This window comes from Homo sapiens, chromosome 3 (genome assembly GCF_000001405.40).
Source record: "Homo sapiens chromosome 3, GRCh38.p14 Primary Assembly".
NCBI classification, from domain to species: domain Eukaryota; kingdom Metazoa; phylum Chordata; class Mammalia; order Primates; family Hominidae; genus Homo; species Homo sapiens.
The window spans coordinates 31,786,241-31,814,190 of NC_000003.12; the positions used below are offsets into that span (position 1 = coordinate 31,786,241).

Sequence of the window (27,950 nt, forward strand, 5' to 3'; positions counted from 1 at the left end):
GTTGACTTTGCTTATGGCATATTTTTGGCCATGAAGCTTTCATTTTTATGAAGTCAAATTTATACTTCTCTTTTTTGTTGTTTTTGGCTTAAGATTTTTTGAGTCACGTTTTAAAAAGCCTTCTCCATCCTGAGACATCTCAGTCCACTTGGGCTGCTATAAACCTACGACTGGGTAATTTATAGACAGTAGAAATTTACTTTCTCAGTCTGGAGGCTGGGAAGTCCAAGATCAAGGTGCCTGTAGGTTCTGTGTCTGGTGAGGGCCCATTTCTCATATGGCACCTTCTTGCTGTGTCCTCACATGACAGACAGAAGGGGAAGAGTTCCCTGCAGCCCTTTTACAAGGCATTGCTGATGGTAGAGACCTCATGGCCTAATCACCTCCAAAGAGCCCTACCTCTTAACGCTGTTGCCCTGGAGATTAAAGTTTCACCATGAATTGTGGTGGGGACACAAACACTCAAACCATAGCACAGGTGAAAATATATATATATTGTATGATTTAAGCACTTTAAAAGTTTTGGTTTTGGTTTTCTTAAGTCTTTGTTCCATTTAGAATACATCATGGCACACTTCTCAGGTAACTCTCAGTTACTACGAGCTAGACTTTTGTAGATATGAGCAGCATGGGCCAGACCAGCAGCAGCAGCTTTTTAATCTGGCAGACACAGATCTGAACCAGCGCACCTCCTTATTAGATGCAATTTCAGGCAAATGATTTAAGAACTCCTTAGTCTTCAATTTCCAAAAGTAGAGAGAACATTATCTGTTTGCCAGGTTGTTCTGGAATTAAATAAGACAACTATGAAAAAGTATTCTGCACAATGCCTGGCATAGAATAAGCGGTCACGATATGGTTGTTGCCTCCTTACTTCTTCATGTCCCTTAGTTTGTTTGCATTTTGAATGATTTACTACTTCTCGAAGGATACACAAATATCACAAGGAATTCGGTTTGCCAATATTCATTCTTTTAAAGTCCTAAAAATTAGGCTTCAGGGGTATTTGTGGATTGATTTAACTACAAAAGGTCTGGTCCTTTTAGTCATATATAATGGATTCGAAAGACATGATAGGCTGGGCATGGTGGCTCATGCCTGTAATCGCAGCAGGGAGGCCAAGGCGGGCAGATCACCTGAGGTCAGGAGTTCCAGACCAGCCTGGCCAATATGGTGAAACCTTATCTCTACTAAAACTACTAAAATTAGCCAGGCATGGAGGCGGGTCCCTGTAGTCCCAGCTACTTGGGAGGCTGAGGCAGGAGAATCGCTTGAACCCGGGAGCTGGAGGTTGCAGTGAGCCGAGATTGCGCCACTGCACTCCAGCCTGGACGACAGAGCAAGACTCCGCCTCAAAAAAAAAAAAAAAAGACATGATAATAACCTAATCAATATGTCCTTTGGGAAGGATTAGCCAGCCGGTTCAGCCACACCAACCCTGTTGATCAGCAAGACAGCAGATCAAAGACAGACCACTCAGTCCTAGATTGGTTCACAGTCTACATGCTTCACATCATGTTTTGCTAAGAAATTTGAAATCTACATGCCTTCTAGGTGCAGTTCAGAATAATTTCCAAAATAAGGATTTTAAATGGCAAATGGCATAAATACCCGACAACAGAATGAGTATTTAAATAAATTATAAGGAATTTGGTATTTTTAAGTAAATATATAAATGGAATATAGTTACTTTAAAATGCACAAACAGAATATAAATGGAAACATATATTAAGTAAAAAAGAAAGTATTCTGCCCATCACAAATGTAATAAATGAATAATATTTACACAAATTGACAAAGATGAGAAAATGTTGCTAATACTTCCCAAAGGACATATTGATTAGGTTATTGTTTTTTTTCTCCCAGAAAAGGTGACTCTGGAATAAATTTTAAAGCTGTCTAGAGATAAGCCTGTATCTAGATTTCAGAGATGTCAGCAATCTGACCCTGGCAGGGTTACAAGAAATTAGTTTTCTAGAACTATCAACATGAACAGGAATACTGAAAGGAGTTACTGTGCCAAATTTTATCCTATAAAATCCTATGACATTTTGCCATAATGTCATTTAATAGAAGATAACTATTATCAGTGTGGAATAAATGTCAAAACAAGTATCAAAGAAATGATAGAAGCCTCATTTTCCTAAATTCTTAATTCCACTTAGTCCTTTTCCTGATTCCATCTGCTGGTGACAGGTAAGCATATAATTCTTGATCTTGTTTTACAAATTTGGTGGTGGGTGGGATAGGAAAGTTGGAAGAAAGAAGCCTGGAAGACTAAAAATCACAGGTAATCCAAAATGCATACTATATTTAATCAGTAACTTTGCCCCTTTTCTCTAACATTCAAGGAAGCCAAAAGAAAAAACTCCCATTTAAAAATGGCTGTATGGTAGGTGTGGTGGTGTACACCTGTAGTTCCAGCTACTTAGGAGGCCGATGCAGGAGGATCACTTGAGCCCAGGAGTTCAAGGTTGCATTGAGCTATGATGCCACCTGTGCACTCCAGCCTGGGCAACAAAGTGAGACCTTGCCTCTAAAAAAAAATAATAATAAAAATAAATTGGCTTTATGGAATTATTAAAACATTATATAGACATTGTAGGAAATTTGGAAAATACAGAAGGCATGAGGAAGAAAAAATAAAACTCACCTACAATTTCATTAATCCAGAGAAAATCATGAACATTTTAGTATACTTCCTTCCTGGATGTTTCTTTCTTTTTTTTTTTGGTTTTGTTTTGTTTTTTGTTTTTGAGACGGAGTCTCACTCTGTCACCCAGGCTGGAGTGCGGTGGCGCGATCTTGGCTCACTGCAACCTCTGCCTCCCAGGTTCAAGAGATTCTCCTGCCTCAACCTCCTAAGTCACAGCGATTACAGGCGCATGCCACCACGCCCAGCTAATTATTGTATGTTTAGTAGAGAGGGGTTTCACCATGTTGGTCATGCTGGGATTACAGGTGTGAGCCACCATGTCCGGCTAGGATGTTTATTTCATACATATATTTAATGAAATATTTTCTTCCATATCCTGTAGATTCTGTGGTCTGAAAACTCTTCACGCACAGATTCAATGAAAGGCACTCTAGGGTGGCAGGGGTAGGTGACACTACCAAGGGGTCTTTCTTCAGGTCCTTGAGTCCATCATGAAAGAGTAGTCTAGTCAGCCTTTGTTGGAAAAGAAAACAGATGCTGAAGTTCTCCAGAACAAAGCTTAGAAGTCTAAATTGTAAACTCTTCCTATAGGGTACAGGGCAGAGCAAACAAGTCCCTGAAGGTCCAGGAAAGGACTCAGAACTCGGCATGTGCCTGTGAAAGAAGTGGTGGGGGACCAAGTGCAGAGCCGGGAGCACTGCCAGGCAGGGGCACTGCCTCAAGAAAGATACCGTGAGGGCAAGAGCCCAGGCAGGGGGAGCAGATCAGGATGGAGCTGCAAGTCAGCAGGTACACAGCACCATAGGCAACGGAGGCCAGGCCACATCGTAGGAGGACCATCAGGCTAGAAGAGACTAAGACTCTCCCTCTGCAAGGTTCTTTCCTCTCTCCTTGGGGTTAGGGATCATGAGGATGACTGGACTATGCACCAAAAATAAAGAGGATACTTCTTCCTTGTAACCTGAGTTGTATGGTGTATACATTTGCAACTCTTTTACTAAACCTGCCACATTTATATACTACTTTGATGTCCACTACAATCATGACACACATTTTTATTCTTTTTTTTTTGCTTAATATATTACAAATACTTTACCATAACATTAATTTTTAAGAACATGATTTTAAAGATGATCTGGTATCCCACCATATGAATATTCCTTACTTTAGCTAACTGGAAGTCAGTGAGATAAAACTGTAAGCAAAACAATTACCAAAATAAAAATTAGACATGACCGATAAACACATGACATGCTTCAATCTCACAAGTAATTACAGAAATGTACATTGTAAGAATAATTAGATGCTTTCTTGTCTGCTTAGCAAGTTGGCAAAAATGTTTAAATATGGTAATACTCTGTTGGCAGGAGTTCAGGAAAACAAGCAGTCAAATACACTGCCAGCCAAGGGTGTAAATTAGGATGACTTTTCTCCAGGCCATTTGGCAATATGTTCCCCAAACCTTTAAAAGACCATTTGTGTGTGGCAGAACCCATGAACCCCTGAGTATGCGCTCAAGAAGAAATGTGTCCTCAATCATCCTCTGAATAATTAAGACCTGATTTACATTTCACATATATAAAATTCTTCTGTCTCTGAATCACAGCTGTTCGCATACACCATCTGCTAATTAAAAAATACTGACGGGGGAAAAAGATGAAGGGCAAAAGATTAAGAGGCCATCTGATAGATCTTGGGGGCATTCTTGCCAACTGCAGGTGGGGCTGCCACTGAGATGCTTATGGCGCCTTGAAGTTTCTCGGAACTGGAGCCAATCCTTGAGGTCTGACCGCAAAGCCTGAATTATAAAATTTGAGAGCTTCAACCACCCACTGACACCTGGTGACCCTGATAATAAACACCACACTCTGATCCACTGGCAGCAATCTACACAACACTCTTGCCTGGATAAGAGGTTAACATCATTGGAATCAGATCACCTGGGCTGCACATAAAGATCTACTGCATATGTGTCGGAAAGCCAGATGGTACAGAAGACACAGCTATGCTTGTTGGAACTCATTTTAATGTTCTCCCCCAAATGTAAGCCATATGCTAGAGGATTCCCTGGCTGGCTGGCATGAAGAACTGGGCACTTGAGACTCATCAACAACTTAACAAATGCAAAAGAAGGGAAGGATGGAGAAGGTTTGATTCTGGTCCACTTGAATCATGAACATAAATGTCATGGAAAAAAAAAATACCTGTGTGACCTTTTTACAAAACAAAACATTTTTTGTTTTAAAATAGAAGTGTCATTTTAAACACTGGAACAGCCTGTTTTTCTCAAGATTTGGCTCTTATGCTAGGTGAAAAATCTTGTCGTTTAAAAACCATAATGCATCTTTCAAACCTCAGAAAATGGGAGTATATGCACAGTGGCTTTTAGAGGAAGAATTAATGTGAAGGGCACATTCCCAGGCTAAAAACTCCCATTTTGTAAAAGCAAATTGGCCACAGTATTTAGAACGTAACTGAAAGGAGTTGAAGTCTGTGGACAGAGTTATAAAGAAAGACTAGCATGAAATGGAAATCAGCGTGCATTTCCCCTGAGGTTCTGACATTTTCTGATAGCCTTGCATCATTTTTATAAGCATTCACAGCAGGATCAATTCAGTCTTATGCCCCAGAGGTAGTTCACTATAACTATATTCTAATATGTGTTTATCTTAAAACCATAGCCCCAGTGAAAACTTGAGTTCTTACTGGCTCATGTAAGACAGCACACTAGTGACTTAAAGAGGTTTTTGTTTTTTTTTTCCACAAAGCTTTACTAAGCTGTGTACGGCCAAAGTAAGTTAAAATCCATGAAAATCATATCTTTATGCCCTAAAAAGCTAGTAACCACCAAGTGAGAAAAATAGACCACTAGGTAAGTAACTAATTATGATCTTAAAAACATACAGTGCTTAAAATGAAAAATTGGGTTTCAAAGACTACATTTACAAAGAGCAAAAAAAAAAAAAATAAGAAACAGATTACTCCAATTCAATCAATTTTCTGAGCCAAACAATCTGCAAAACAGTGGATATAGGTGCTGTGAGGGATTTTGAAACGAGCAAGACAAAGCTGGATGCGGTGGTTCACACCTGTAGTCCCAACACTTTGGGAGGCCGAGGTGGGAGGATCACTTGAGCCCAGGAGTTTGAGGCTAGCCTGGGCAACATAGCAAGACAAAAAAAATTAGCCAGGTGTGGTGGCGCACATCTGCGGTCCCAGCTACTCGTGACACTGAGCTTAGTAAATCACTCGAGCTCACGCAATTGAGGCTGCGGTGAGCTGTAATCACACCACTGCACTCCAGCCTGGGCAACAGAGACCCTGTCTCCAAAAAAAAAAAAATGATAAAAATGAGCAAGTCGTAATAATCTGGCAAGTCAAAGAACATTCCTTGAGCTTTCAAGCAATCAGACATTACGTGTAACTTTCAAAAACATTCAGGAAGAGAAAAATAATTATCGAGTTGTAAAAAAGCTTTTCCAAGTTTTCAAAGTTGAGGGCAGCTCTCAAACACCCCATTTTAAACAGGTTGCAAAATGGTTCCCCCTCTCCCACTCTCAACATTGGCGACAATTAAAAGGCTCCTAGTTACCTAAAAATGACAAACCATAGCAGCGTTTCTGTTTTGTTGCAGCGGGGCGGAGGGGGGTGGTGGTTAAAATTCTCAGTTATCCAGACACACTGGGTGGGTGATTGGTGTATGAGGGTGTGTGCTGGGGTGTGTATGTTTTACGCTGTCAGCTATCCAGACACACTGTGTGTGTGTGGTGTGTGTGTGACAGTTGGTGTTGTGGGGGTGTGCAGGGGTGTGTGTGTTTTACACTCTCAGCTATCCAGACACAGAGTGTGTGTGTGTGTGTGTGTGTGTGTGTGTGTGTGTAAAAATTCTCAGTTATCCAGACACACTGGGTGGGTGAGTTGGTGTGTGGGGGTGCGTTTTGCACTCTCAGCTATCTAGGCACTCTGTGTGTGTGTGTGTGTGTGTGTGTGTGTGTGTGTGTGTGTGTGTGTGTTGTAGATGCTCAGCTATCCAGACATACTGGATGTTTCTGGAAGTACCAGGGTCTGACTTGGCCCTGAGGATGCACATCATTTGGATATCCTGGAAGCTAAGCATGAAACAAGTTTTCATCTCCCTTTATTGTAGTCTCAAAGGTAACAGAAAAAATATCTATTAATTTAGCCCATTTCCCCAGTTCCACTATTTCCCACAGCCTTTTATATTCACGAACCAACCAAAGAGGGCAGAAATATTTTTCTAATTCTTTCTGTCTCTTTCATATCCTGCCTCCTTCTCCTGATGGCACTGACACCTCCTGTGAACTCCCAGCCAGACTGGGAAAGCGCGCCTGTCATTTTCTTTCTGCCTAAAATAGCTGCAAGAGCAAAAGCAGTCAGCCACTGCAGCTTCCCTCAACTCTGTTGAAGTTTTCAGGACCACAATCAAGCACCCGTTTGTATGACCTCCTAGCATAAATAATTTATGCTGAAAATTAAAACATATGGAGGGCTTTTAAAAATCTAAATTTAGATAAAATTTAATTAGCAGTAAGTGTCTGATAATGTAACCACTCACTGCTTATTTACCAGGCTGATGGCCTTCAATGCTGTGTAGGTTTAAGGAGGATGGAAATTATGCTAAGAAATCCAAAACTAAGCACAAAATACACATTCACCTTCTTGAAACAAGATGAGCTCAACAAATGTGACTGTTCTCTCTCAAGGTCTTAAAAAGCACCTCTGGTTTACAAAATAACATGGAATTAGGAAGACTCTCTAAGTTTTCCAAGTGAAAAAGCAACTGTAATTAAATTTGGACTCATGAGAAACAATAGTGTGAATTTTTTAAAAACTAGAATTTAAAAAGTGGTTTTTTGACTATAGAGAGTTTAGATATACAGTTGGCCCTTCTTATCTGTGAACTCCACATCTATAGGTTCAAACAACCTCAGATGAAAAATATTTGAAGAAAAACAGTAAAAAACAACAAATGACAATTAAAATACAGAATAACAACTCTTCACATGTCATTGACATTGTATTAGGCTTTAGAAGTAATCTAGAGATGAGAGTAGCAGCCATGTTGGTTGGTGTCGAGTGTCTTTGTGGTTTGAGAGGCCCCAGGGCGCTGGGTTGGCACAGTGGTGGCTGAACTCAGAAGGTGGAGGGGACTTGCCCCTGCTGCACAGAAGCAGGTCTTCAGCCTCGTGATGGCACCTGCAGCTCCCGACCCCACTTTCCCCACATAGTTTTTCTGTTTGTTTTGAGACAGAGTCTTGCTCTTGTTGTCCAGGTTGGAGTGCAATGGCACAATCTCACCTCACTGTAACCTCTACCTCCTGGGTTCAAGCAATTCTCCTGCCTCAGCTTCCCGAGCAGCTGGGATTACAGGCGCACGCCACCACACCCAGGTAATTTTTGTATTTTTAGTAGAGATGGGGTTTCACCCTGCTGGCCGGGCTCAGGCAATCCACCTCACCTCTGACACCGCAGGCGATCCACCTGCCTCTGCCTCCTGAAGTGCTGGGATTACAGCCGTGAGCCACCGCTCCCGGCCTTCCTCACATAGTTGAATGGCCATGGTTGTGCTGAGGCTCCTAGCTCAGCAGGGCACTGTGACCCTTGCAGACATGGCTGTGAACTTTTCCCAGAAGAAATGGAGTCTCCTTAGTGAGGTTCAGAGATGCCTGTACTGTGACGTGATGCTGAAGAACCTGGCACTTTTATCTTCCCTGGGTTGTTGGTGTGGAGTGAAAGATGAAGAGGCACCATATAAGCAGAGCATTTCTATACAAAGAGAGTCTCAGGTCAGGACTCTGAGGGCAGGGGGGTCTCCCAAGAAGGCTCACCCCTGTGAAATGTGTAGCCCCATCTTGGGAGACATTTTTCACTTGGCACAGCAGCAGGAAACTCATCACAAGCAGAAACTGAACAGGAGTGGGGCATGTGGGAAAAAACTGGATGACACTGAAAACCTTCATCAGCACCAGAAGCAGCACATTGGAGAGAAACTCGAGAGAAGGGGTGCCAGAGAAGTGTCATTTGTAAACAGCTGTAAAGTCCATGTGTCACAGGAGCCATTTATCTCTTATGAGGTTGGGAAGAACTTCTTGCCCAGCTTGGGATTACACCAGCAAGAGGCTACTCACAATGTAGAGAAGACAAACACTGAAACTAAGCATGGCCCACCCTTTCATGAGGGAAAGACTCATTACAGCTGCGAAGAATTCATAAAACCTTTTTTTTTTTTTTTTTTTTTTTTTTTGGAGACAGAGTCTCACTCTGTTGCCCAGGCTGGAGTGCAGTGGCACCATTTCAGCTCACTGCAAACTCCGCCTCCCGGGTTGAAGCGATTCTCCTGCCTCAGCCTCCTGAGTGGCTGGGATCACAGGCGCCTGCCACCAGGCCTGGCTAATTTTTGCATTTTTAGTAGAGATGGGGTTTCACCACGTTGGCCAGGCTGCTCTTGAAATCCTGACCTCAGGTGATCCGCCCACCTCAGCCTCCCAAAGTTGCTGGGATTACAGGCATGAGCCACCGTGTCTGGCCCACAAAACCTTTCGGCACTACTCACTCACTTGTTCCACCAGAAGCTTTTCACTAGAGAAGGATGTTACGTGTGCAGTGAATGTGGGAAATCCTTTAGCAAATGTAATACCTTCAGTAATCATCAGTGAATTCACACTGGAAAAAGATCTTATGAGTGTGGACAATGTGGGAAATGTTTTAGACAAAAGGGCAACCTCATTCAACACCAACGAGGTCACACTGGAGAAAGGCCTTATGAGCGCAGGAAATGAGGGAAATCTTTTAGGAACAGGTCTCACCTCCTCACTGATCACCAGAAACTTCATACTGGAGAAAGACCTTATAGTTGTGGGGAATGTGGGAAATTATTTTACAAGAAGTCTCACTTCCTTCTACCTGAGAGAGTTCACACTGGAGAAAGGCCATATGAGTGTGAGGTATGTGGGAAATTACTTAGCCAGAAGGAGCATGTTACTGTGCATCAGAGGGTTCACACTGGAGAAGGGCCATATGAATGCAATGAACATGGGAAATCATTTTCTTACAGCTCTGCACTTCGTGTTCATACAAGAATTCACACTGGGTAAAAGCCTTATGAGCGCACTGAATGTGGGAAATCCTTTGCTGAAAGCTCCAGTCTCAAGAAACACATGAGTTCATCCTGGAGATCAGTGCAAGGAATGTGGTAAAAATTAGCTGAAGCCATTCTCTCCTTCAGCATCGAAGAACTCACAGTAGAAAGGCCTTATGAGTGCAAGGAATGTGGGAAGTCCTTTGCTGTAACTCCAGTCTCATTTGACACAGGAGAGTTCACACTGGAGAAAGGCTTTAAGAGTACAGCAAATGTGGAAAGATATTTACCTGAAATACTGCTGTTAGAAAATCAGATGGTTCTCCTATAGAAAATCCCTATTAGTGAAATAAATTTTAGAAATTCCTTGCCCCGCCCCCCCAAAAAAGGTAATCTAGAGATGATTTAGAGCATACGGGAGGATGTACATAGGTTATGTGCCAGTACTATGCCATTTTATGTAAGGGACTTGAGCATCCATGGATTTTGGTATCTGAAGTGGGTCCTAGAACCAATCCCCTGTGGATACCAAGGGACAATTGAATATATATTTTGCCCCTTTCCTCTATAAGTCAGGATTCTCAACATCAACTCTACTGACATTTTAGGTCAGATAACTTGGTGGTTGTGGGGGTGGAGGGTCCTGTGTGTTTCAGGCTATTTTAGCAGCATCCACGGCCTCTACCACTAGAAGTCAATTAGCAGATGTCTTCAGACATTATCAAATGCCCTGGGTTTGACAACCACTGCTCTAAGTGATTTCTTACAGTAGATTACTCTCCTGGTATAGGTACACACCCAATGAGGGCTTTTACCTTAGGCTTCCCCACACAGGAAGTGTCAACTTCATTCAGGATCTTTCAAGCAGTAATAGACACCTTTCCTCCCCTCTCCTCACTTCTCTCTACCCCAAACATTTTCTCCCATTCTCATACAGGTTCCTTCAAGAGAGACTGATGAACCTTACAAATGATTTTTATTTTATTAATTTTTATTAATTTTTTTTTTTTTTTTTTTTGAGACAGAGGCTTGCTCTGTTGCCAGGCTGGAGTGCAATGGCGCCATCTTGGCTCACTGCAAACTCTTTCTCCCGGGTTCAAGTGATTCTCCTGCCTCAGCCTCTCGAGTAGCTGGGATTACAGGCATGCGCCACGACGCCCAGCTAATTTTTGTATCTTTAGTAGAGACGGGTTTTACCATGTTGGGTCAGGATGGTCTCGATCTCCTGACCTCGTGATCCGGCCTCTTCGGCCTCCCGAAGTGCTAGGATTACAGGCGTGAGCCACTGCGCCTGGCCACAAATGATTTAAGGGCCAGGAGGAAACTCAAGTTGAGTATTCAAAAAGAAAGGTAAGAAAAAAGAAAAGAAAAGAAAGGTAAGATACTAAACTAATTCTTGGCTCTTAGATGGAATCTCCCACCTTTGCTCTGTGATGTTTTACAGTCACTGATTCCAATGATCATCATCCTAGTATCATGGTGAAGCAATGGCGGCAAGGCAGGAGACCCAATGCAATCGCCTCATGCAAACCGTTTAACCTCCCTGAGCCTAAGGGCCCAGGAGAGAAAAATGAAGCTGAATCAGGTGATCTCAGAGGATATTTCCATCCCTCCAAACTACAATTTCTGTGAACCCTGCAAAAGGTCACAGCTATTTTTCCACATAAAAGAGGGTACATTAAAATACACACACAGTTTTTTTATATGTACCATGATATAAGTCACAGTCACTTTTTGCCATGTCCACAATACAATGTACCAGAAAGATCAACTGGGTTTGAGTCTTGACGATGCCAATGACTCTCTGTGTGACCTCACACATGTTGTTGAGCATACAAGCCTTCACCTATAAAAATGGGGATGGGGGGGTGAATGTTAGATAAAATAGCTATGGTTCTTTCTAGCACTCTCAACCTGGAACCCACTACATTTACAGTCCCTGTTGTTAACTGAAACAATAATAATTATTTTTATATATATCGTTCCAAACTCTGGGTCCGGGCATAAGGAGCTATCTGCAAGGCTGTCTTAATATATTTTTCTACTAATAGACTATCCAATATGATAGCCTCCAGCCATACATAGCTACTGGGCACATTTAACATAGCTAGTCCCACTGGAAATGCATGCAGTATGCATCAAATGCACATGGAGGCCAGGCGCAGTGGCTCACACCTGTAATCCCAGCACTTTGGGAGGCCGAGGCAGGTGGATCACCTGAGGTCAGGAGTTTGAGACCAGCTGGCCAACATGATGAAACCCCGTCTCTAGTAAAAACATAAAAATTAGCTGGGCGTGGTGGCAGGTGCCTGTAATCCCAGCTACTCAGGAAGCCGAGGCAGGAGAATCATTTGAACCTGGGAGGCAGAGGTTGCAGTGAGCCGAGATCACACCATTGCACTTCAGCCTGGGTGACAAGAGCAAAACTCCATCTCAAAAAAAAAAGAAAACCAAAATGCATGTGGAGTTTCAAAGACTTAATATGAAAAAATACATAAAATATTACATTTTTTTAATATTAATCATATGATGAAACTATAATATTTTGGATATGAGTTAAATAAAATATATTATTAAAATTAATTTTACCTGTTTCTTACTTTTAACATGACTAGTAGGAAATTTTTAATTACATATGTGGCTTACATTATATTTCTGTTGGACCATGCCAACATAATCTACCTTCCCCTGCCTTTTGCCTAATGCCATACTTAGTGCCAACTAAGTAAACTGTTAAAGAAACCCCACCTAGGTCCTGTTTTATTTCATGGTGGAAAACAGGCTTCTTCAAGTCCTGTATACAAAGAGCTTGTATCTGAATTGCAGAAAACTGTCACCCTAAAGCAGCAATCCCCAATCTTTTTGGCACCAGTGACCAGTTTTGTGGAAGACAATTAAGGAGCATGCAACCTAGATCCCTCCCAGGCGCAGTTCATAATAGGGTTTGAACTCCTATGAGAATCTAATGCTGCTGATCTGACAGGCGGTGGAGCTCAGGCAGTACTGCTGATTCACCGCTCACCTCCTGCTATGCCGCCCAGTTCCTAACAGTCCATGGGTTAGTACAGGTCCACCACCTGGGGATTGGGAATCCCTACCTCAAGGTATACATATGTCAGCAGGTCTTTTACACATAAGACCCTTCCAGAACTATAACTCAGGTGATTCTTCTTGTGGGGTATGTCTGCCAAGCATTTTCCCTCTCTGGGTCTTATTTTCAGATATGCCAAGACCAAACAGAGTAATCAAGCATAGTCACAGTTAAGAGTAGCGTGATGGTACAGGCTTGTCACCCCAGCTACTTGAGAAGCCAGGGCGAGAGGATCACATGAGGCCAGGAGTTCAAGACCAGACTGAGCAACATAGCAAGACCCCTATCTCTTTAAAAAAAAAAAAAAAAAAAAAAAAAAATGGAAGAAAGAAAGAACAAGAATATCAGCTTAGAAGTCAATCAGCTGGTTTGAATATCAGCTCCACATTATCTACCTGACTTTGGGCAAGTTATTTAACCTCTCTTAGCCTCTAGTGCCTCGTTTGTAAAATAATTATTGTAATAGGGCATAGCTCATGGAGGTGTTGGTGAAGATGAATTAGTCACAGTCCCTGGTACATTATAAGCACTCAAGAAATGATAGCTGAAAACATTTATTAACCTCCTTTAACAAATAAGAAAATAAAGCCTCAAGGAACTTAACCTATTTGCTTCAAATCACAAAAATCGTAAGCAGCAGTACCAGAAACTTACAAGCAAACAGTGCTTTTTAAGTAATTATGGTAAGTAATTACTAACATGAGATCAACCCTCTTAACAAATTTTCCAATTCTTCTGCCTCAGCCTCCTGAGCTGGGACTACAGGCGCCCACCACCATACCCGGCTAATTTTTGTATTTTCAGTAGAGATGGTATTTCACCAATATTGGCCAGGCTGGTCTCGAACTCCTGACCTCATGATCCGCCCACCTTGGCCTCCCAGAGTGCTGGGATTACAGGCATGAGCCACCACGCCCGGCCCCAAAGTGCATTTTTAAATAACCTCTGCCTGGGTTGTATTTGGGTCAAAGGTTCTGTTTAGTGAAAGGTAAAAAGGCAGGAAGTTTTGGGCAGAAAATGGTCTTAGCAATGGTCCAACTTCTCACATTAACTTGAATCACATTGATGAAGTGGCCTAGTTGTTGTGCCTTCTCTTGTATAAGCCACAGATGTTTCTAAAATGGAATGTCTTCCCACCTCCTCCGCTGTCCTTTCCATATTGAGATCTCAATATTATTTCAAGTCAGTAAATGAGCATGATGGTGGTTCATGACAAGGAAGCCGCATTTCACTTCATTATCTGTGATCACACCCAAACAGAACTGAAAACCATCTCTGGGAGAACAGAGAAAAAGTACTAATGATAATTCTCGGCAAGCAGTTGGGCCCAGCACAAACACCAGCCTGGCCCTGGCATGATGGGCCATCAAACATGGCAGGCGTTCCCACCCCTCCTGGGCATGCTAATAAGAACGTAAACCTTTGGGTCGCCAACTAAGGCTAAACACTCAACCTAAGGAGCATTTCCTTTCCCATTATCAAAACCACACTCTCTCACTGAAAGCAAATGAGTAGGCAAAATGCTTATACGAATAAACAATCACCATGAAACTACCCAAGGCTACAGCAAGGAAAGACTTTTAATGAACCACATGGGTGGGTCAAGTTAAAATAGCCAAACCATGAAATTCAATATGCTATAAAAACTTATGGTACATACTTAAATTTTATTTTGAAAAGAAAACCATGCTGACAACAGCTAAGGAGACACAGAAATTATATAAGTCTATCAGAAGAAAAATGTCATCAGAATAATGCAGTTTTTCATGCCTTTTGGCTTGCTCTAGGAGGTTTTTCTGAAGTAAGCCTAAAATAGGGACTGTGTTTCAGGTTTTATTAATCTTCCTAGATTTTAATTCAGCTACAAAATAATCCTTTACGATCCCCTTGACCAAAAAAAGTTAACCTTTTAAGTGGTCTTTTTTTTTTAATACATAAAGATAAGGCTACTGACATCACCATAGGTTCTCCAACAGAGGGACGGGGAGACTTAGGATCCAGCCACCTGGACTAGGATTCAGCCACCTGGACTTGCTCACAAGTCCCTGGATACTGACTGTCAGGTACAAGAACCAACAACTTTTCAGGAGCATGGGATAAAGACTCTTTCTTTAGGCAGAAATAAACTGGGCCACACAGAACTGCATGGACATCTCCATGATATGGTGACATACTATTGTGGTCCCCAAGTCTTTGGAGTTGGGGAAGTTCCCTACAGAGACAGATAGCTACTGCCAACACCACACATGCAGAGGAAGGAATGACTAGACGGGAAAAGTCTCCCTTGGCTCAATCTGACAGAGTGGGTTATAACCTCCTGTAACCCTTGCCCCAACAGCCCTAAGACTCTGGCTTCTCACCTGCCTGTTTACCAGGCACAAAACTAACTGCAGTGGCTTCTGAGCATTTACTGTGAGTGTGGGTGAAACAGAGGCCAATTTCTGAGCAGAGGCCTCCCACAGCAGGCCCAGGCCCCTGAGGTCTATCCCTGCAGGAACCAAATCTCTAGCTGTGACCGTGTTCACACTGCAGACAAAAGATGTAGGTCCGTGTCCTGAAAGGTTACACTCCAGGAGCAAGCAGGACCTGTGTCCATTGCAAGGAAAGAAAGAAGCCACGAATGCCTTCAACAGTATGCTGTGCTAGGAGGTCTATATCAACTTCTTATGCCATGAGGTTATGGTCAGACTATCACCTCTCTGCTTATAAGAACTAAGACCTGATTTCTTTCTTTTTTTGTTGTTTTTTTTTTTAAGATGGAGTTTTGCTCTTGTTGCCCAGGCTGAAGTGCAATGGCACGATCTCAGCTCACCACAACCTCTGCCTCCAGGATTCAAGCAAATTCTCCTGCCTCAGCCTCCTGAGTAGCTGGGATTATAGGCATGTGCCACCATGCCCGGCTAATTTTGTATTTTTAGTAGAGATGGGGTTTCTCCATATTGGTCAGGCTGGTCTCGAACTCCCGACCTCAGGTGATCCGTCCGCCTCGGCCTCCCAAAGTGCTGGGATTACAGGCACGAGCCACTGCACCCAGTCCGCCCGCCTCGGCCTCCCAAAATGCTGGAATTACAGTCATGAGCCACTGCACCCGGCCGTAAGAACTAAGCCCTTATTTCTTAACAGGTAACAAGGGGCAGGGTTGAAGGTATGGAAAACATTTCTCAAGCTGCTCTGTAAAGAATTCTCTGGGGCTGGGCATGGTGACTCACACCTGTAATCCCAGCACTTTGGGAGGCCAAGGCGGACAGATCATCTGAGGTCAGGAGTTCAAGACCAGCCTGGGCAACATGGTGAAACCCCATCTCTACTAAAAAAAAAAAATTACAAAAATTAGCCAGGCATGGTGGCGGGCACCTGTAATCCCAGGAACTTAGGAGGCTGAGGCAGGAGAATCACTTGAACCCAGGAGGTGGAGGTTGCAGTGAGCCAAGATCATGCGCCACTGCACTCTAGCCTGGGTATCAAAAAAAAAAAAAAAAAAAAAAGAGAATTCTCTGGATTGTACCAAGACAGTGGAAGACTCCTCTCTCTCTCCTGGTATTAATTCCCCTTCTTTTCAACAATTCCGGCCTGCCTCCAGCTCTTAGTAGGGCATTTTGTTGCCTAGCCTCACTTGCACTTAGAGGCGTGACCAAGCGGCCAAGTTCCTGCAAACGGATCCTGAATAAAAGTGAAATCCATTAAAAACAAGAGTACATTCCTCTTTCTTCCTCTTTTCCCACTACTTGGAAAAAGGTGACAACTGGATAGCCAGGGTTGACCCAGGATGGAAGCTTGTGCCAGTGATCAAAGAGCCACCCAGTCAGCTCTAGTTGGTCACCTCTGGTCCATCTACAAGGGAATAACAAACTTGTACCTTATTTAGACAATGGTATTGGGTCCTTTTTTTTTTTTTTTTTTTTTTTACAGCATCTAAGTCTGAGCTGAACTAATATACTGTTCTAGTCTACAAAGTGGCTTTTCTAAAATCACACATGATTCAGTGAGAATCCCCTGAATAATTTTTTGTGAATCAATGAGAACAGTGTGTAACATCGGCTCCACCCAGACGTGACCTTTTCAAAAGAAGAAGGCAACAAGAAAGTGGCTTCTGATGGTTCCACTTCCACATGCCAAGCAAAGCTCTACCAGGCCAATGACTAGTTACAGCCCCCCTTCTCCCCAGAGAGGCGCTGGCCTGAGGTCAGCTGAAGAGGCTAAGGTCTTCTAGGGAGGAACAGTGATATCCAGCCTTCAGGGGATAAGACTGCCAAGTCTATAGCACCGTGACAGAACAAAAGAGCACCTTCTCACATGCTTCAAAGCCCCTCTAAGTCCCTGGCAGAACCAGGGACGTTTATAACCATCTTCCTTCAAACCAAAAGTACCTCACATGTATGATGGGTATTTCAAAACATTTTACTTTAAAATAATTTTGGACTTACAGAGATGTTGCAAAAATCATATGGCATTTTTGTATACCCTTTGCGCAACTTCCCCTAAGGTTAACATCTTACATAAAAGTAGTTATTCAAATGAAGAAATTTATATGGACAAAATACAACTACCTCAATCTACAGACCTTGTTTTCAGTTTTCCCACTAATAGCTTTTTTTTCTGGTCCAAGATCCAAACCGGGATCCCATGTTGCATTTGACTATTATATCTCCTTTAATCTATCATACTTTTTAAAAGTCCAAGCCAGTTATTTTCAAAATGTCCCTAGTATTTCCTAGATTGGGGTCATGTGCACTTTTGGTAAGAATAACACAGAGGTGATGTTGTACCTTCTCAATGCATCATATTTGGTGGTACATGTTTTTATGTCTTTATTACTGGTGGTATTAACCATGATCACTTGGTTGCGGTGGTGTCCACTAGTTTTCTCCTCTGTAAAATAACTGTTTTCTCTTTGTAAAAAAATAAGTATTCTACAGGGAGATACTTTGAGACTATTCACATATCCTGTTTTTCATCATAGTTTCACCTAACATTAGTGTACATCAATGGTTCTGACCTGCAACAATCATTACTATGATGTTTGCTCAATGGTGATCTTTCATTTCCCTCATTATTCTACATTTATTAGTTAGAAGTCTATTTTAAGGAAGAGCTTTTACTCACCCCACCCCATGTATTTGTTCATCCTATTATTTATATCAACACGAATCATGTATATTTATGTTATTCTAAGGGTTGAAATCCAATACTATCAACATCACAGATTTTTAATCCTGATAATAATTCTGATATTATCTCCGTTTTACAGATTAGAAAAACGAGGCAAGGAGAGGTTAAAAAACCCTGCTTGAGGGCACTCAGCTAGTCAGTAGCAAAGATGCAAAAGCCAGTTCCACTGACTTACAAGTAAGCAAATGACCCAGCCTCTAGGGTAAACAAACTGATGTCATCATCAATCAGCAAAAAAGCAGAATGTGATCTAACAATGAAGGAGACCCGTATTAGGACAGAAGGGGAGAGAAAAATATCTGAAGCCCTTCATTTTAACAACCAAAGTTACTTAGTCCAAAATTACTGGCCATCTTCCCAGACAAGCACCATTAAAGGTAGAGCTCCCCATCCCACAGTGGCCATAACGTAACAGCGCCTACCAAACGCGCTTCATGAGGACAAGATGTAATTTTACCAAAACACGAAGTGCTGACTGCCAACAGCAATAAACAGCAGCATTCGTGATCTAAATGAAGCTTTTAAAATTAAGCTTTTTCAGAAGTTACTCAACTTTAATAAGACTTCATTCACTTTCCCAACTACTAAATCTGCTTTGGTTTGCAATTTTTTTTTAGCTGTTTAAATGGTCAAGGTCCTTACTTTGTGTGTCTGTTTGGTGGGAATGATTTTAATTCAAACAAACAACACTGTCTCCAAGGGAGCATGTTTTATATTCTCACTATTACACCTGGCTTTCCCTATGGTTTTCAAAATCATTGACAAAATTCGTAATTATTATTTTAATGTAAAAGGTGCTCAGGGTCTGATGTATCTGAGCATGCTGAGCTTCAAGACTTTGTCTTGATTACACTTTAAATGAACTGGTATGAGTTTGCAGTTTCTTTAAAAATGAACCATGCAAGCTTTTTCACGGAAGGTATTTCTGACTCCTCCTTTGAGATGAACCTTTAAAACAAAATTCACAACCTGTCAACACATTACATATGTTAACCCTTTCTGAGAATTTGCAATGCTCTCTCCTCACACCAGGTCCTTGCACCTATTACCAGAAATGCTGGTCTCAAAGAATGACTAAATATAGTCGTATCTCTCTCTACTGCATTCCCATGCTCTCATCCACAGTGCCCTTCCAGAAGCTCATGGGGCTTCAAACAGAAGATGGCTTTTATTATGAGCTGAAAGAAAACTAGTCAATGCAACTATGAATTGCCTGGTATTCCACATTCTCCCTTCACGCAAATGTTTGGCTATACGTGGTTTTAGCAAAATAATTTGAAATGACTAGTAAATGGGTTTTCTCTTCTAAGCACGCACTACTAACAAATTGAGCATTCTTGCTCTCATAGGTAAGACATAAAGTGAAATGATCCACACAAAATACAAAGCACCTTAAAATAGCAAATAAAGAGCAATCTTCCACAATCTGATGGTAGGCGCTGAATGCTCAGCCATCACAACCTGCCTCATTTAGTAGACAAAAAAGTATCTTCCTTTCACAAAAGTATCTTTGAGGTCCATAGGCTCAGGCAGGCCTCACAAGATAACCCAACAAGAAGGGAAGAACAGCTCTTCCCCAAGAAGACTTGCAAGCTTACAATAACGATGACGATGGTAGCAGGGTTTAATAGTTGCTGACAACTTATTAAGTACCTGGCACTGTTCTAAGCTCTACACTTGTCTTTCTCTACTAATTTTCAAAATGAACTTAAGAAGCAACACTGTCACTATCTGCATGTACATTTGCAGAGTCTAAAGCACTCTTCATAGGTATCTTGTGAGGTAACTTGCCCAGTGTCACTCAGCTGATCAAGGGCAGGCCAGGAATTGAACTCTGGCAGTCTGGTTACAGGCCCTGGATGCTTAGCCTCCACCTATCATGCCGTCACACCACTTACCTCCCCTCCAAGAATGATGGATGCAGGGAAGGAGGACCCGAGAGCCTACGCCCTTGTTCCCTCAGCCCTCCCAGCAGCCTCTGGCAGAAGTCCCAGCCCCATACCTCCTGGCTTTGCCAGAAGTTGAAGTCAGGGACTTGTGTCCAAATCACCATTTTCCTACTTGACCAACAAATGTTCACAGACAAGACTTCCTCGCCACTGCACTCCCCAAAAAGAATCTCTTCCTGGAAGACTGAAAAGAACTCAAATGCATCAACGATAAAAGTCTAGATGGCCATTCTTCATGGTCTTGCACTTACTTACCTTCTTTTAGCTGAGAGCCAAACAGTAAGTGCAAGGGTCATTCCTTCTTTTGATACATATCTATTGAGCTTCCGCTTTGTACCCGCAGTTAGAAAAGCAGAGCAAGTACCTGCTCCCTGTGAAGCTTTACGTCCTAGTGTGGGACACAGGCAATGAGCAAATAAAGACATAATACAATGTCAGGCAGTCAGGCAGTAACAAGCGCTGTTGAAAAAATAAAGCAAGGCAAGGGCATAGAGAGTGATGGGGCAGGGGGTGCTGCTTTACAAAGAGTAGTTTGGAAAGACCTGTGTGAGGAGGAGGCATTTGGACAGAGGTCTAGAGGAAGTTGGGGGGTGGGGGGAGCCATGTGGGTGGATATGCAGGGAACGGTGAGTGCAATGGCCTTCAAGTGGGAGTGTCTTGGCATGTTCTAGGAACAGCAGACCTCCTATCCAGCCTGGGGAACTAGAACCCAGGAAACAGGGGTCTGGGAGGGAGGATTCTGAGAAATAAGGTTAGAAACATAGCCAGGGACCTGGTCATGGACAGCCCAGGCCACAGACAGGATTTAGGATTTTACTATAGGTACAATGGGAATCCACTGGAGCTTTTTAACAGCTACATGATCTGACATGTCCATTAAAAGATTCACTCCTGGCCAGCCACGGTGGCTCACGCCTATAATCCCAGCACTTTGGGAGGCCAAGGCGGGTGGCTCACTTGAGGTCAGGAGTTTTAGACCAGCCTGGTCAACATGGTGAAACCCTGTCTCTACTGAAAATACAAAAATTAGCCAGGCGTCGTGTTGCACACCTGTAATCCCAGCTAGTCGGGAGGCTGGGAATTGCTTGAACCCAGGAGGTGTAGGCTGCAGTGAGCAGAGATCGTGCCACTACACTCCAGCCTGGGCGACAGAGCAAGACTGTCTCAGAAAAATAAATAAATAAATAAATAAATAAATAAGATTCACTCTGCATGCTGTGTTGGAGGATATATGGTGGGTGTCAAGGGCACAAGTAGAGACTGCTAAAATGCAAGATGAGGGCATGGCATGGTGGCTCATGCCTGTAATCCTAGCACTTTGGGAGGCCAAGGCTGGTTTATCATTTGAGTTCAAGACCACATCTCTACAAAAAAAAAAAAAAAATTAGCGGGGCACGGTGGCACGTGCCTGTGGTCCCAACTACTTAGGAGGCTGAGGTGGGAGGATCACTTGAGTCCAGAAGTTCGAGGCTGCAGTGAGCTATGATTGGGCCACGGCACTCCAGTCTGGATGACTGAGCAAGACCCCATCTCTAAAAAGAATTTTTCTTTTAAACAAAGGTAAGATCATGGTGTTATGGAGCAGAACAATGAAGGTAGAGGTAACAAGACATGATGTGGCCAAATTTAGAACCAAACTCCTCTAGGAAAGGAAGAGGCACTGAAGACTACACATAAGAAATAAGAAATTACTTACAAATAGGAAAGTGTTTTAAGAATTGGACAGATGTTGGGCCATGATATAATGACTTATTAATAACTTCAACTTATGTATAAAGAATAACAGAGAATTCAGGGGAAAAGAGTGATATAACATGAAGAACGTGCCACAGACACTACTTCTATCCCGATTTTGTAACTGAGCAGCTAGCTACAATGACCCTGAGTTTCACCCAGAATCAGTTACCTGGAATCAGGTACCTTGGAGAGCAAAGAGCCACAATTCTGTACTCACCCAGCATATCATCAAGACTAAGATCATCCCCATTTTACTCCTGTCATCCCAGCAGGTTTGACAGGAGGTTGGAGGGAAAGGGGGAGAAAGGACGAGGCAAGCGCAGGCATTTCACAGTGACCATCCAGGCCTGGGGCAAGGCAAGGAGAGGTGATGGCCAGGAAAGGCTCACACTGACACTGAGGTCTTGTCAGGTGTCATGTTGGGAGACTGAGGTCCCCAAATGTAGCCAGTTGCCTTGGCAACAGTATCTCTATCCAAGGTGATAAATTACCCTGCTGTCTAACAAATTCAGTTCATTTCTTAAACAATCAGTGTCCTGGAAATAATATGAGAACAAGCAAATACCAACCAGTGGACTGAGAGGGCAAATCAATCACTAGGCTTGCTCTGAAGTCCCCAGGCTGGGGGAAATGCAGGAGCCTGGGGCTGGGAGAGAGGGTTCTGAAAAAAGCTACTGTATTCCAAATTTCAAATTAAATAGAAAGAAAATAGAATAATTAAAAGGCACTTGAAAACAATTCTACATTCCTTTCCGATATTCCTAACTAAATTCATCACATTATTCTGTATCCCTCTCTTCGCTTTACTTCATAAAACCTGACATTTATTAATCATTTGATTTCTGTTCCTGTCTGTTCCACTAGAATTTAAACTTTTCAACAGCAAAGGCTTTGTCTCTGTTTCATTTCCCACTGTACTCCCAGAACTGGAATCTTGCCCAGAATATCATACACATGCAATAATATTTATCAAAGGAATCAATTAATACCTCTTCTGGACTTCGTAAAACTCTTAATCAAGTAATATACCTGTAATATATAAACACATACATCCATATGTACTCCATGCTTAAGGTAAACAAAGCATTTTCAGCAAAAGTAAGACTAAGCCAAGAATAATCACAACCGCCACTACTATTTAGAATTATTTTAGACATACTAGCCAACAAAATTATTAAGAGAAATTTGATAAACTAAAAAGAGGAGGCAAAATGATCAATATTCGCAACGGATGAGTTTATTCCTGGAAAGCCCAAGAAAATCATCAGCAAAACTACAACAAACAATAAAAGAATATATTTAGATTTGGGGGAATACATGCAATCCACAGGAAGTAATAGCCTCCCTATTTACAAGTCGCCCAATCAAGTAGAACATGTAATGGAAAAAGTCTCATTTGCAACAGCAACAAAAGGGGATAAAATACTTGGCAATTAAAAGGAACATGTAGGATCCACAAACTTTAAAATGCTCCTGAGGAACACAAACAAACACTTCAGCTGGATAACTATGCCCCTATTCTTAGAAAGTATATCATTCAGATGTCAGTCCTTAAATAATGTATAAATTTAATGCACTCCGAATAAAAGTGCCAGTAGGGTGGTGGTGGACACGGAGGTTTTAAAAGCTAGACATGCTGAGTCTGAAGTTCTTGTGGAATAGTTGAAACGAAGTGTGACTAAGGACAATAAGGCTGTGCTGGCCTTACCAGACACTAAAGTATATTCTAATGTGACAACATGTAAAGTATTGTAGTTCTGGAATATGAATGTGCCAACAAACCAGAGAAAACCATAGACCCAAGTACTTAATTTAGTATGCAACTTAGGTAGCACTGCCGTATCAGTGGAGAAAAGATGGACTATTCAAAAAATGGGATTGGAAAACTAGACCAGCCCAAGAAAATGTCAATGGGTGCCCCCTGACTCTTTTTTTTTTTTTTTTTTTGAGATGGAGTTTTGCTTTTGTTGCCCAGGCTGGAATGCAATGGAGTGATCTCGGTTCACCACAACCTCTGCCTCCTGGATTCAAGCGATTCTCCTGCCTCAGTCTCCCGAGTAGCTGGGATTACAGGCATGTGCCACCACGCCCGGCTAATTTCGTATCTTTGATAGAGACAGGGTCTCTCCATGTTGGTCAGGCTGGTCTCGAACTCCTGACCTTAGGTGATCCACCCACCTCAGCCTCCCAAAGTGCTGGGATCACAGGCATGAGCCACCGCACCTCGCCCCCTCTGACTCTTTATACCAAATTTCTTATTTAAAAAAAGTCAAAACAGTAAAGCCATAATGATTGAAGTAGTCTAGAACTGGTTTGTGGTAATATTGCACAACTATGTAAACTGACTAAAAGTCATTGAGCTGTAAACTTAAAAATGAGTGATTTTTATTATATGTAATATGTCTCAATAAAGCTGCTTTTAAAAGGAGACCATACCATTACTTGAAAACATAATTTTAAAACAATAATCTTAGAGTGAAAAAAATGTTTATAATAATGACACAGAACTCCAAATCTCTAAAGATTGACACTTTGACTATGAAAAAACAAAAAAATTTTAACACAGCTAAAAACATCCCAAATAAATCAAAAAACAACTGACAAATTATGAAGGTGAATTATCTTAATATATACATATATATAAAACTCCTGGAAACCAATAAGGAACACATACTAAATAAAAATGGGCAAAAAACATGAACAGTTTTCAGGAAAGGAGATGCCAATAGCTTCTATAAATACGAAGTGATGCTCAATCTCACTTAAGAGAAATTTAAATTAAAATTATGAGATACAAGTTTTCCCCTAGCCAATTGGCAAATGCAAAAGGTTTGACGGCACAGTGAGTCCACAGGGTGTAAGGAAACTGGCACTCCCTAACATCAATGGCTCCATCAAGCAATTACACATCCATGAACTGATCCTAAGGATCCCCCGCTTACTTTCATTAAATGACACATGGCTGCAGGTACTCCCTAAAGCATTGTTTGTAAGAGCAGAAAATTAGAAACACCCTAAATTGTTCAGCGAGAGTGTCGAGTGCTAAGTTTCCAGGTGTCGAGGAGGTCAATGAGGACAAAAACCCAAACCGAAACTAACCACTGAGCCCTCATGTACTCACTGTGAGCCTATAAGCAAGAGTCAAAACAGGAAAAAGGCGCCTTCTCCTGCAGTATTCCGCTACTCCCCAGAAAGGGGCTCAGATGTAGCCTGTGGATGGCAGTGCAGGATCACTGCAGAGGGGTTGGGGTGTGGGGGATGCTGGGGGTGGGCAAGGACTGAGGACTGGGTCAGAGTAAAATGTTTTCAAGCCCCCTCCCCTCACAAGAAGACCTCAGCAGAGGTGCCTGGGAAGGGCGGGGCCCTTTGATGAGGAAGCCTCCACCCGGAGAGGCCTGGGCTCAGAACTCGCAGGACTCCTTGACTCTAACACCCTCCGACTGTGCCCCATGTGCGGCGCAGGGAGGACGGCTTTCCCCATGAGGCCTGCAGGTAAAGCCTTTGTAATTGCCTGGGGTGGGACCTAAAGATCACAGGGAGGGTTCTGGCCTGGAGCCTGTGCCTCAAAGAAAGGAGTGTTGAAGTATGTGATGGTGCATCCATAGAAAATAACACTTTACAGACAGGAAAAAGAAACAGTTCCTAAATGTCTTGCTACAGAGCTATTTCCATGTGAAAGCAACACAGTTCATAACAGGATATATCAAGTCCATAACAATGTAATATACCACAGTTGGTGTTTTTAAAAACAAGACCATTAAAAAAAAGAATATGCATATATAGGCAAGTACACATTAACAAATATGTGCCCATTCACGTATAGGACACACAAGACAGTGGTAACAGTAGTTGCCCATCAGAGTAGGATGCTGGGAGAGAGTAGTCAGAGAGGTCTTTGTGGACAAATGGCCCATAGGTATCTCTACAGATTTACGTGTGTCTTCTAAATCTGGCCTAGATTATACTTATTAATAATTCAAAGTCTAATTTGTTTAAAGAAATAGAGTTATCACAGAAGTTACATCTGAACCAATAAATAACTCCAAATCTCACCTGGCCAAGTTATTATTTTTATTTTTTAAATTTATTTATTTATTTATTTTGAGACAGAGTCTTGCTCTTGTTGCCCAGGCTGGAGTGCAGTGTCGCGATCTCGGCTCACTGCAACCTCCGCCTGCCTCCCAGGTTCAAGCAATTCTCCTGCCTCAGCCTCCTGAATAGCTGGGATTACAGGCGCCTGCCACCATGCCCAGCTAATTTTTGTACTTTTAGTAGTGACGGGATTTTGCATTGTTGACCAGGCTGGTCTCAAACTCCTGACCTCAGGTGATCCCCCTGCCTCAGCCTCCTGAAGTGCTGGGATTACAGGCGTAAGCCACCGCGCCTGGCCCTGGCCAGGTTATTATAACAGATAATTTAATACCTGGTTAACGTCCCCTAGGCAGGGTTAAAGGGCACCTTTCCCCACATCCAAATTTTGGTTCTGAAATTATCTCCATCAATATATTCAAACAAAGAATTTAAGACAACTGTGATATCTCACAAGTTGATCTATGAATTCTTTTTAGAATCTCAAATGAAAGGCACTATGTAATTATGAAGTATTGTCGCTGTGATTTATGAACCCAAATGTTAGGAAATTCTAAATAACATGCTTTACTGTGATGATTTTTCTGTCAGTGAGAAATCTTCACCACACCTTCTCATCTCCTGAATGTTAAGTTGATAGATGTTTATTCCAGAGGTATGCTGGAATCTCTACACAGTAGGCAAAAAAAAAGAAAGAAAGAAAGAAAGAAAGAAAGAAAGAAAGAAAGAAAGAAAGAAAGAAAGAAAGAAAGAAAGAAAGAAAGAAAGAAAGAAAGAAAGAAAGAAAGAGAAAGAAAGAAAGAAAGAAAGAAAGAACGAACTTCTCCAATAACATGTGAGAAGGACAATTATTTTTGTGTTAAAGATAAAATGTGTACTAAAATGATGTAGGTTCTATTTTTTGCTCAAAATATAGAACAGAAGTTTTTGTTTACTCCTATAATTCTTATTTTATCCCTTCTAGACAACCAGCATAAGTCACATATTATGTGTTTTACATCGAAATCTCTCCAATATAAGAAATATAAGGAATCTCTCTGAAAATAAAAATACAGGAATGGTTCTTTGCAGACCTATTTTAAGACTGTTATCCTTGGACTGCAGAGAATAATCATCAAAGAATGAAAGTAGCTGGAGGAAAGAAAAACCTTCAGAAAGAAATCTTACAGTGTCTTTTCCATGGTGACATCAAGTTCTGATTTAGGGATGACCAAAGCATCTTTGAGTTGACAACCCAGCCTACTGTCTTCATTTTGCAGGTGGCAGCAAAGGTCAAATGGCTTGCCCAAGGGTCCCACAGGGAACAGCTCATGGCCTGAGACACAGCCCTAATCCCTCAGATGGCTCTCCACCCAGAATTGAAGCCTACACCAGTTACTCACTTATTAGCTCATGCAGAGGCAGTTTTGGTTTTTTTGTTTGTTTGTTTTGTCTATAAAATGACACATAGGAGAAAGTGTTCATGTAAGTTAAGGCTACAAAAATTAAAACTTCCTATTGTTGCCTTTAACACCAACTATCATCCAGAAATTACATGTAAAGTAAAATATCTGTGGCTAATGCTGTGAGCACTACTCCTGCCCTGTCACTATCTAGAAATGGAGGCAAAATGGGGTAGGGGAGGGGACGAGGTGCATGTACCCATGCTTTGTGTGTGCCTTGTTAAGAGAGGGCTCCAGGGTGAGACTTCCCTGGCTCAAATTCCAGCCTGGCTGCTCCCACCTGCCATGAGCCTGAGCATGTGCCTTGGCCCTCTCTAAGCCCGGGTGTCCTCATCTGTACAGTGGGGATGAAATTTACTTCACGGGGCAGATTCAGGGCAACATGTTGGCATTCCATAAGTATGAGCTTTCTTAGGCACGCATGTACATGCTGAGCTCTGCTGTCCACGTGAAGAACCACACAAAGCAGGAATACACCGAGTGGACACACTGGGCCTCATCCCTGTCCACGGCTTAAACAAAGCTGAGCCAGAATCTCTGGGAAAGAGCCTGGCCCTGTCCACCAACCTATCCTTACAGCCTCTCTCCTCCTAGGGCAAACGTTAGTGGGGACAAGAGAGAACCCAGGGGCAGGGTGGAGTCTACTCCTGTGCCTGACAAGCTCCAACAAGACTACCGCTACTTTCTTCAGCCACAGAGGGCCAGGCATCCCAACAGT

The 27,950-nt window shown here is 42.2% G+C and overlaps 1 protein-coding gene and 1 pseudogene across 16 annotated transcripts in view; one reads left to right on the top strand and one right to left on the bottom strand.

Annotated features, from left to right (window-relative positions):
- Positions 1–27,950, bottom strand: part of OSBPL10 (oxysterol binding protein like 10) — a 416,868-nt gene that overhangs the window by 125,416 nt on the left and 263,502 nt on the right. The window contains exon 1 of one of the 16 annotated variants that reach the window (XM_017005670.3): positions 11,515–13,157. The exons of the other annotated variants lie outside the window; for them this stretch is intronic. Within the exon in view, the coding sequence (XP_016861159.1) occupies positions 11,515–11,589 (75 nt within the window). The 5' untranslated portion in view covers positions 11,590–13,157. Of the gene's footprint in view, positions 1–11,514; positions 13,158–27,950 lie in introns of those variants that run through there. 16 annotated transcript variants of the gene reach the window in all.
- Positions 9,204–10,060, top strand: ZNF587P1 (zinc finger protein 587 pseudogene 1; annotated as a pseudogene).